The 12,189-nt window shown below is 35.9% G+C and overlaps 1 protein-coding gene across 10 annotated transcripts in view; it reads right to left on the reverse strand.

Moving 5' to 3' along the window:
* Positions 1-12,189, reverse strand: part of SLCO6A1 (solute carrier organic anion transporter family member 6A1) — a 127,228-nt gene that overhangs the window by 92,992 nt on the left and 22,047 nt on the right. For all 10 annotated transcript variants that reach the window (XM_011543148.3, XM_011543147.3, NM_001308014.2 and 7 more), the window contains one exon: positions 10,932-11,028. In XM_011543148.3, coding sequence (XP_011541450.1) covers positions 10,932-11,028 — 97 coding nt within the window. The remainder of the gene's footprint in view (positions 1-10,931; positions 11,029-12,189) is intronic.

The raw sequence follows: 12,189 nt of genomic DNA on the forward strand, positions 1-12,189 counted from the left end.
CAGATTTAAGTTTCCTGATGCTCTCAGATCTCTTGCCAGTGCTCTTCACAAGCCAAGCCTAAAACTAAGCTAGATGGTAAAGGAGACCATTGATGTTGTCTATAATAGGTCAACCGCTTTAGGTACAGAGCAGAGTGGAGAAAAGTAGGGAGTGGAACTATAGTAGCAAACTGATGATATCCAACACAATCCATCACTTTTGTACCTCAGAATCTGCTAGTGCCCTTTGCTGGAAAAAAAAAATCTTGGGTGAGAAAATTCTTGAGATAACTACACCAAATCCTGTTAGCTATTATACAATTATTGGGTTATAATAATTCAAATATATTTGCAACTGAAAACTAAAACACTGTTGTAGAAGATGTTGTTAGTGTCCCATTTGTATTATGTCAGCTAGACATTCATCACTCCCATATATAACAAATGATTAACTTTGAATAGCAGGAACTTTATGCTTGGCCCAGTTCTCAGAGAGCAGGTCAGAAATACCTAGGGCTTAATAATAACCCCAGGAGCATCGCTTGACCAACAATTTCTAGGAGTTAGTGGATATATATATATATATATCTGGGATAACTCATATCTTACACTGTCCGCCAGAGTTCTCCAGTGGGATTGAGTCCTAGTTGCCCCAAGCAGTAAATTGCTCAATATAATGAACACTTTATTGTCTTCTTTAACTTCCCATGCTTATTTCCCCACTACCCTATCATGCTTCCTAGTATCATTTCTCAAATTAATAGTGTGCATTCATGTATTTATCTCAAATTCTTTGTCTCAAGTACCTTGAGAGAAACGCATTATGTCTAAAACAGTTACCATTACCAGGGATCATCATATAACCTAGAAGAATAAAAATTAGAAGAAAACTAACACAAAACCTAGTTGCTACTGTCCCTGCATCATTAGTAGTGACAAGGTCTGAGTTTACCATCACATCTTCCTTCATTCACCATCTATCATATGAATACCTTACCCTCAGTTAGCACCTTGGTTGGAAAGAATACTTCACCTGGTGAGGTGACCCAAACTATCATTCCTATAAGATCTGAGCCTTAGTGGTATTTTCTTTAATGAGTTGAGGCAGTTATTCATTAAAGAGAACTACTGGACAATGTGAATACTAAGAATCAAGTAAATCCCCTGGATTTCAAACAAAGTTGTGCCTGTCTCTACTATACAGCAGAAACCCATTCCTCCCCCACCAGAAACTCAGAATATTCACATTATTTAGTATTGGGCTTCTCTTTTTCCTTTTTAACTTTTATTTTAAGTTCATGGGTATAAGCGCAGGATGTGGAGGTTTGTTAAATAAGTAAATGTGTGTCAGGGGTTTGTTTTACAGATTATTTCATCAACCAGGTATTAAGCCTAGTATTAATTAGATGCTTTTTCTGATCCTTTTCCTCCCCCCACCCTCTGCCCTCCAGTAGGCCACAGCTATTTTTCCTATCTATGTATCTATGTGTTCTCATCATTTAGCTCCCATTTATAAGAGAAAATATACGGTATTTGGTTTTCTATTCCTGCATTAGTTTACTAAGGATAATGGCCTCCGGCTCCATTCATATCCCTCCAAAGGACATGATCTTGTTCCTTTTTATGGCTGCATAGTATTCCCTGGTGTATATTTACCACATTTTCTTTGTCCAGTCTATCATTGATGGGCATTTAGATCAATTCCATGTCTTTGCTATTGTGAATAATGCTGCAATGATCATATGTGTGCATGTGTCTTTATAACTGGATGATGTTTATCTTTGGTATATACCCAGTAATAGGATTGCTAGGCTGAATGGTATTTCAGTCTCTAGGTCTTTGAGGAATTACCGCACTGTCTTCCACAATGGTTGAACTAATTTATACTCCCACCAAGAGTGTAAAAGAGTTCCTTTTCTCCACAGCCTCACCAGCTTCTGTAATTTTTTGACTTCTTAATAGCCATTGTGACTTATGTGAAATAGTACCTCATTGCGGTTTTGATTTGCATTTCTCTAATGATTAGTGATGTTGAGACTTTTTTCATATGATTGTGGACCACATGTATGTCTTCTTTTGAGAAGTGTCTGTTCATGTCCTTTGCCTACTTTTTAATGGAGTTGTTTGTTTTTATTCTTGTAAATTTATATTCCTTATAGATGCTGGATATTAGACCTTAGTCAGATGCATGTTTGTTAAAATTTTCTCCCATTCTGTAGGTTGTCTGTTTACTCTGTTGATAGTTTCTTTGGCTGTGCAGAAGCTCTTTAGTTTAATCAGATCTCAATCGTCAATTTTTGTTTTTGTTGCAATTGTTTTGGTGTCTTCATCATGAAATCTTTGCCCATGCCTATTCCTGAATGGTACAGCCTAGGTTTTCTTCTAGAGTTTTTGTAGCTTTGGGTTTTACATTTAAGTCTTTAATCCATCTTGAGTTGATTTTTGTATATTGTGATTTTTACATATGATGTATATGAAGTTCTGATTTCTTTGTAAACCTCGTCTTTACCAAAAATACAAAAACATTATCCTGGTATAAGGATGCATGCCTGTAGTCCTAGCTACTCCAGAGGTGGGAGGATCACCTGAGTCCAGGAATTGAGGCTTTAGTAAGCTGTGATTATACCACTGCACTAGAGCCTGGGTGACAGAGTGAGAATCTCTTTAAAAAAAAAAATAACAAAACTGGTGGCAGGCAAGAGATCTTGTGCAGGGGACCTCCCATTTATAAAACCATCAAATATCATGAGACTTATTCACTACATACGAGTACAGTATGAGGGAAACTGCCCCCACGATTCATTTATTTCCACTTGGCCCTGCCCTTATCATGTGGGGGTTATTACAATTGAAGGTGAGATTTGTGTAGGGACACAGCCAAACCGTATCAGTGGCATTGAATGTTCTTTTGCATTTGTGTGGTATCAGTTGTAATATCTCCCATTTCATTTCTAATTGAGCTTGTTTGAATCACCTTTCTTTCTTTCCTGGTTAATCTCACTAATGGTCTATATATTTTGTTTATCTTTTCAAAGAACCAGTGTTGTGTTTCATTTATCTTTTGTATTTTTGGTTTCAATTTCATTTAGTTCTGCTCTGATCTTTGTTATTTCTTTCCTTCTGCTGGTTTTGTGTTTGGTTCATTCTTGTTTCTCCAGTTCCTTGAGGTGTGACCTTAGATGGTCTAATCATGCTCTTTCAGACTTCTTGATGTAGGCATTTAATGCTATAAACTGTCCTTTTAGCATTGCTTTTGCTGTATCCTAGGGGTTTTGATAGGTTTGTGTCACTATCATCGTTCAGTTCAAAGAAATGCTTAATTTCCATACTGATTTCATTATTGATCCAATAATAATTCAGGAGCAGGTTGTTTAATTTCCATGTATTTGCATGGTTTTGAGGTTTCCTTTTGGAGTAGATTTCCAATTTTATTCCACTGTGGTCTGAGAGGATACTTGATATGCTTTCCATTGTCTTAAATTTATCGAGACATATTTTGTGGCCTATCATACAGTCTATCTTGGAGAATGTTCCATGTGCTGAGGAAAAGAATATATCCTGCAGTTTTGGGGTAGAATGTTCTGTAAATATCTGTTAAGTCCATTTGTTCTAGGGTATATTTTAAGTCCATTGTTTCTTTGTTGACTTTCTGTCTTGATGACCTATCTAGTGCTGTCAGTGGAGTACTGAAGTCCCCACTATTATTGTGTTGTCATCTATCTCATTTCTTACATAGAGTAGTAATTATTTTAAAAATTTAGGAGCTCCAGCATTAAGTACATATATATTTAGGATTGTGACATTTTCCTGTTGAACTAGACTTTTTATCATTTTATAATATCCCTCTTTGTCTTTTTTAACTGTTGTTACTTTAAAGTCTGTTTTGTCTGATATAAGAATAGCTACTCCTGCTCACTTTTAGTTACCATTTGCATGGAATATCTTCTTCTACCCTTTTACTTTAAGTTTGTGTGAGTCCTTATGTATTACGTGAGTCTCTTGAAGACAGCAGATACTTCGTTTTCTTCTAGGGTTTTTATGGTTTTAGGTCTTACATTTAAGTCTTTAATCCATCTTGAGTTAATTTTTGTATACGGTGTAAGGAAAGGATCCAGTTTCAGCTTTCTACATATTGCTAACCAGTTTTCCCAGCACCATTTATTAAATAGGGAATCCTTTCCCCGTTGCTTGTTTTTGTCAGGTTTGTCAAAGATCAGATGGTTGTAGATGTGTAGTGTTATTTCTGAGGCCTCTGTTCTGTTCCATTGGTCTATATGTCTGCTTTGGTACCAGTACCATGCTGTTTTGCTTACTGTAGCCTTGTAGTATAGTTTGAAGTCAGGTAGCGTGATGCCTCCAGCTTTGTTCTTTTTGCTTAGGATTGTCTTGGCTATGCAGGCTTTTTTTTTTGGTTTCACATGAAGTTTAAAGTAGTTTTTTCCAATTCTGTGAAGCAAGTCATTGGCAGCTTGATGGGGATGGCATTGAACCTATAAATTACCTTGGGCAGTATGGCTATTTTCACGATACTGATTCTTCCTATCCATGAGCATGGAATATTCTTCCATTTGTTTGTGTCCTTTTTTATTTCGTTGAGCAGTGGTTTGCAGTTCTCCTTGAAGAGGTCCTTCACATCCCTTGTAAGTTGGATTCCTAGTTATTTTATTCTCTTTGTAGTAATTGTGAATTGGAGTTCACTCATGATTTTGCTCTCTGTGTGTTATTGGTGTATAGGAATGCTTGTGATTTTTGCACATTGATTTTGTATCCTGAGACTTTGCTGAAGTTGCTTATCAGCTTAAGGAGATTTTGGGCTGAGACGACGGGGTTTTCTGAACATACAATCATGTCATCTGCAAACAGGGACAATTTGAATTCCTCTTTTTGTAATTAAATACCCTTTATTTCTTTCTCTTGCCTGATTGCCCTGGCCAGAACTTCCAATACTATGTTGAATAGGAGTGGTGAGAGAGGGCATCCTTGTCTTGTGCCGGTTTTCAAAGGGAATGCTTCCAGTTTTTGCCCATTCAGTATGATATTGGCTGTGGGTTTGTCATAAATAGTTCTTATTATTTTGAGATACATTCCATCAATACCTAGTTTATTGAGAGTTTTTAGCATGAAAGGCTGCTGAATTTTGTTGAAGGCCTTTTCCACATCTACTGCGATAATCATGTGGCTTTTGTCGTTGGTTCTGTTTATGTGAGTGGATTATGTTTATTGATTTGCGTATGTTGAACCAGCCTTGCATCCCAGGGATGAAGCCCACTTGATCATGGTGGAACTTTTTGATGTGCTGCTGGATTCAGTTTGCCAGTATTTTATTGAGGATTTTCGCATCGATGTTCATCAGGGATATTGGCCTAAAATTCTCTTTTTTGTGTGTGTGTCTCTGCCAGGCTTTGGTTTCAGGATGATGCTGGCCTCATAAAATGAGTTAGAGAGGATTCCCTCTTTTTCTAGTGATTGGAATAGTTTCAGAAGGAATGGTACCAGCTCTTCTTTGTACCTCTGGTAGAATTCAGTTGTGAATCTGTCTGGTCCTGGACTTTTTTTGGTTGGTAGGCTATTAATTATTGCCTCGATTTCAGAACCTGTTATTGGTCTATTCAGAGATTCAACTTCTTCCTGGTTTAGTCTTGGGAGGGTGTATGTCTCCAGGAATTTATCCATTTCTTCTAGATTTTCTAGTTTATTTGCATAGAGATGTTTATAGTATTCTCTGATGGTAGTTTGTATTTCTGTGGGATCAGTGGTGATATCCCTTTTATCATTTTTTATTGTGTCTACTTGATTCTTCTCTCTTTTCTTCTTTATTAGTCTTGCTAGCGGTCTATTTTGTTGATCTTTTCAAAAAACCAGCTCCTGGATTCATTGATTTTTTGAAGGGTTTTTTGTCTCATGGGGTGTTCCCTTGATGTGGTGCTCTCCTGCTTCCCCTAGGGATGGGGCTTCCTGAAAGCTGGACTGTAGAGATTATTATTTCTCTTCTGGGCCTAGCTACCCAGTGGAACTACCAGGCTTCAGGCTGGTACTGGGGAGCATCTCTAAAGAGTCCTATAATATGACTTGTCTTAAGGCCTCTCAGCCATGGAATCCAGCACCTGTTCTGGTGGAGGTAGCAGGGGAATGCAGTGGATTCTGTGAAGGTCCTTGGTTGTAGTTTTGTTTAGTGCACTGGTTTTCTCGATTGTTTTTTGTGCTTGCAATAAAGGTGTCATGTGGACAGACTCAGGACCTCTGATTAGCCAAGATGTTATAGGCGGTGGAGTTAGCTTTGTTTTCTCCTTTCTTGGGGCATGGTTTTTCTTTCGTGAGTTGTTGTAATGATTTCTCCACGGTCATTTTTCACATGGGCCCATTAATGAAGACCTAGGTTGGTTTTTAAAAAAAGAGACAGAGGCTCACTGACATTAACAGGATTGGTCATACTGTTCGACTGACTTGAGAACCTTCCAAAGTAAATACCTTCTTCATGCACCCCTTCAGAGAGGTTCAATCACATGTTCTCCTTACCACCTATTTTCCAGTCTTGCTCTAAGTCTCTAACTACCCAAACAAGCTGAACATAAATCAATAGAGATTTATACCTCAGGCCATCTCTCCTATATTAAGTGAACAACCTTAATACAGGACAGCCTGAAATTCTAACTGCTAGACGGGTTTCCTGTATCTTAGGGCCACTGTTTAGTGAAGCCATAATGTAGTGACCATTCCTTTCTGAACATTCACACGCTTAAATGTTTCCTTTTCTCTGGAAATATTCTCTAGCGTTGTTAAAAGAACCCATACAGCCCAGAATTCTTTAAAATTACTTTTGTCATTTGAATTAAATGCTACACCCGCTTAATTTCCTAAAGCCTTAATCCCAATCCACAACCTGTGATAATTTTAATAACTGTGTCCAATTTATCCCTAGCAAGAATATCTGTGTACACAAACATTCAACATAGTTCTGGAACCCTATTGCTACTTCTGATACTACTTCTAATATCACTCAGAATCCTGGTAGAAAATGTACAGTTAACTCACACTAGATCATTTGAAGAGTGATAAGGGAACTATTTTTAGTAATGTGGGCAGACTTCAGGAAAAATAACAAGGCACAGTATAACATTCTGGGGCTAGCTATAGTAGCAAGCTCTTATCACAGCCCTGAATGTCATTGGAATAGTGCTTAATAAATGTTGAGGGTATCCTGCTGATAGCCATGGCCTTCAGAAGAGAAATACAACCAATCTGGGTACAAGCCTTCAGGAAGAACCGAAAGAATAAATGCCGTAATCTTAAGCTTCCCCTGCCTTCTCATCTGCCAATGACTCTCAGTGGCAAAACCCAAGTGAAATCTAGATAGAGTACAGGGGAATACATTGAGGCTGTCAATACAGGTCAGCCTCCCTGAGCAGAGGAGGGTGGAGAAGATTTTAGAAAGATGAAGAGTAAATTTAGAGAGGCAAACAAAATATATTCAGCACACAGCTTATTCCCTGAAAACTTATCTGTTTCCTTTTATGATATTTGTCTGGTAGTTACCAAAACGTTATACTAGCTGGGTAAGAACCCAAGTGAGTTGCCAGGGGAACTAGCAGGATAGTTTCCAGGTAGTACCTGTAGCAATAAACAACCATGGAACTATTCTTCGTTATCTCAGTTTCTACTAGTTCTTCCTTCATATGAACTCAGAATTTCAGAAATGGAAGGTACACTTCTCTATTTTCTTAAAGTGGTAGGTATAGCTCCTTAATTAACTCCATCATCTCAACAAGAGAACAAGAAAAGTTGAGGAGGAGGTAATTGATGGTACTAGTTCCCAATATATAATTAAAATACAGCTTTAAAATATATATTTATGTAACTGTAGAAAGGAAATAATAGAGATTACAGCAGAAATACTGTAAATGAAATAGAGCCTGGAAAAACCATAGAGAAAATAAACAAAACAAAGAGATGGTTTTTTAAAAGAGATTAACAAAATTGACAAACCTTGGCCAGAGAAATTAAGAAAAAAGAGATAAGACTCAAATAACAAAAATCAGAAATGAGCGGAAGACTTTACAACTAAATGCCACAGAAGTAAGAAGAATCACAAGAAACTACTATGAATAATTATATCCCAACAAATTAGATAACTTAGAAGACATGGATACATTTCTAGAAACATTCAACCTACCAACACTAAATGATGAAGAAACAAAGTATCTGAACAGACCTGTAACTAGTAAGGTGATTGAATCAGCCATCAAAAACCTCCCAACAGAGGAAAGCCTAGGGCCAGATAGCTTCACTGGAGAACCGTACCAAATATTTCAATAAGAATTAACAATAATCCTTCTCAAAATCCTCCAAGTAACTGAAGAGGAGGGAATACTTCAAATTCTTTCTATGTGGCCAACATACTCTAATACTGAACCTAGAAAAAGATACTACAAGAAAACTACAGACTAATATCTCTGATGAATACTGATGAAAAAAATCCTAATCAAAACACAAGCAAATTGAATGTAACAACATATTAAAGGGAATATACATCATAATCAAGTGGGATTTGTTTCTGGAATATAAAGATGGTTCAGCATATGAAAATAAATCAGTGTAATACACCACATTAACATAATAGAGAAAAACCACATGATCATGTCAATTGATTCAGAAAAAGCATCTGACAAAATTCAATGCCCTTTTAGGACAAAAACACTGAGAAAACTAGGAATACAAGGAAATTACACCTCAATATAGTAAAGGCCTTGTATTAAAAGCCTACAGTTAACATCATACTCAATGGTGAAAACCAGCAAGTTTTCTAAGATCAGGAACAAGTCCATAGTTTGTTCTCACCATGTTCGACATAGTACTGGAAGGTCCTAGCCAGAAAAATTGGGGAAGAAAAAGAAATAAAAGGCATCCAAATAGGAGAGGAAGAAGTAAAATTATCCCTGTTCTCAGATGACATGATCTTATATATAGAAAACCCTAAGGATCATACATACTTGCATACACATAACATATGTGTAACTATTAGAACTACTAAATGAATTTAGTAAAGTTGCAGGATGCAATATCAACACACAAATATCAGTTGTGTTTCCATACACTGACAATGAACAGTGTACAAGGAGGAGAAAGACTTGCGCATTGCAAACTATAAAACATTATTGAAAAAAATTAAAGACACAAATAGATGTAAAGCGATCCCATGTTTATGGATTGAACATGATAATTAATATTAATATTCTTAGAATTAGAATATTGTTAAAATGTTTATACAACCCAAAGTGAAATACAGATTTAATGCAATCCCTATCAAAATTCCAATGGCGTTTTTTACAAAAATAGAAAAAAAATCATGTGGAATCAGAAAAGACCCTGAACAGCCAAATCAATCTGCAAAAAGAAAAATAAAGTTGGAGGCATAACACTTCCTGATTTCAAATATATTGCAAAGCTACAGTCCTCAAAACAGTATGGTACTGGTATAAAGACCGACACACAGACCAATGAAATAGAATAGAGAACCCAGAAATAAACCCTCATATATACGGTGAAATGATCTTTGACAAGGGTGCCAAGGCTACACAATGTGCAAAGAATTGTCTTCAAAAAACAGTGTTGGGAAAACTGGATATCCACATGCAAAAGAATGAAGTTGGAACCTTACCTTACACCATATACAAAAATTAACCCAAAATGGATTAGACATCTAAACACAAGGCTTGAAACCATAAAGTTCCTAGAGGAAAGCATAGGGAGAATGCTTCATGCCATTGGATTTGACAATTATTTTTTGGATATTACACCAAAAGCCCAGGCAGCAAACCAAAAACAGACAAATGCACTACATAGAACTTAAAAACTTTTTTGCAGTAAAGGAAACAATTGGCGAAGTGAAAAGGCAACCTGCAGAATGGGAGAAAACATTTGCAAACCATTATTGAAAAGAGGCTAATATGCAGAATATATGAAGAACTTCAACCCAATAGCAACAAAAAACAATCTGATTTAAAAATGGCCAAAGGACTTGGATTGATAAAAGAAGGTATACAAATGGTGAAGAAGCATTGAAAAGATACTCAACACTACTAATAATCAGGGAAATGCAAATAAAAACCACAATAAGGTATCACCTTGGATCCATTAGGATGGTCACTATCAGAAAAACAAACAAACAAACAAACAGAAAAAACAAACAAAACAGTATTGGTGAGGATGTGGAGAAATTGGAACCCTGTGCACTGCAGGAATGTAAAATGGTGCAGTCGTTATAAAAAACAGTATAAAAGTTTTTCGAAAAAATAAAACTGGAAAAATAGACTTACCATATGATCTAGCAATCCAATTTCTGAGTATATATACAAAAGAATTGACAACAGGATCTCTGTGGGATATTTGTACACCTGTATTAATTGCAGCATTATTCACAATAGTAAAGAGCTGGAAGCAACTTTAATGTCCATTGAAAAATGAATGAATAAAGCCAGTGTGGTATGTACAATAATACAGTGGAGTATTATTCAGCCTTAAATGAAGAAGGATATCCTGTTATATGCTACAACATGCATGAAACTTCAAAATATTATTTAAAGTGAAATAAGCCAATCACAAAAAGAAAAATACTGCATGATTCCAGTTTTATAAGGTGTCTAAAATAGTCAGACTCTCAGAAAACAAAAGTAGAACAATGATTGCATTTTTGCAAGATGCAAAAATTCTAGATATATATTGAAAAACAATGTACACATAGTTAACAGTGCTGTACTATGCACTTAAAAATGTTTAAGATGTATATTTCAGATGTATTTATATGTACAAATATGTGCATATGTCACATTTGCATATATTTTTTCTAAAACTATGGTTATTACAAATTAAATATATATATTTACTTGTAAGCTATGGTAGCTATTTAGTAAGTATTTTATACAATGTAAACAAAAAAAGAAAAAATAATGCCTTACTTTGTTGCAGAAGTAGTATTCTCAGGGACTTTAACTAGTGGTGCTCCTAGCACATAACCCAGAGCATATCCAATCATTGATGTACATTCTGCAATACCTGTAAAATAAGCACTGAAACTGAACATCAAACAATTTCATAAGCCAGCTTCGTTATGATAAAAATTGACTGAAATTGATTACTTCTGAAAGCTTTTCATAGCATTCTGTATTAGTCAGAGCTCTCCAGAGAAACAAAATCAATAAAAGACAGAGAAAAACAGTAATGGAAAACCAAGTATCATTATGTTCTCAGAAGTGGGAACCAAGCTATGAGGATGCAAAAGCATAAGAATGATATAATGGACTTTGGGGACCAGGGGGTAATGGTGAGAGGTGGGTGAGGGATAAAAGACTGCACATTGGGTATAGCGTACACTGCTTGGGTGATGGGTGCACCAAAATCTCATAAATCACCACTAAAGAGCTTATCTATGTAACCAAATACCACCTGTTCCCCCCAACACTACTGAAATTAAAAAAAATTTTAAACACAAAAATAAAAATGACCTTCAAAAAACAAAGACATAGAGAACAGACAGATTCATTTTAAGGAATTGGCTCATACAAAATACAATTATGAGGCCTAGCAAGTCCCAAATTTGTAGGGCAGGCCAGCAGGCTGGAAATTCAAGTAAGAGTTGATGTTACAATCTTTAGGTAGAATTGCTTCTTCAGAAAACCTCAGTTTTTGCTCATAGAACCTTCAACTGATTGAATGAGGCTCATCCACATTATGAAATCAGTTTTGCTCAAAATCTGCTGATTGTAAATGTTCATCGCATCTAAAAATGACAGTCACCAAAACATCTGGAGTAGTGTTTGTCTTTACAACTAGGTGTCATAACCCAGCCAAGCAAACACATAAAACTAACCATCATACATACTATCCAATTCATGTATTAGAGAAACTCAGTATATAATTCATTATACTTTATTTAATCTATATATTTAATGTAAAATACATGAAATATATTTAATATAACTAGAAATTAAAAATATCTTATTTTATTTAATTTGGGGTGCTCTAGCAAGATGATACTTTAAAGTTATCATTACTTCTGCACCCTTCACCTTAGCTACCAGGATGTGTCAATACACCTTCGCAATAAGTATATAAAAACAACTTTAAATTTATTTTCAAAAGTGATAGTTAGATAACCCTGTACAAATAGATGATCTACCAGTACCAGAATCTATTGCAATATAAGACAGTACAGGT

Source organism: Homo sapiens, chromosome 5, assembly GCF_000001405.40.
Source record: "Homo sapiens chromosome 5, GRCh38.p14 Primary Assembly".
Classification (NCBI taxonomy): domain Eukaryota; kingdom Metazoa; phylum Chordata; class Mammalia; order Primates; family Hominidae; genus Homo; species Homo sapiens.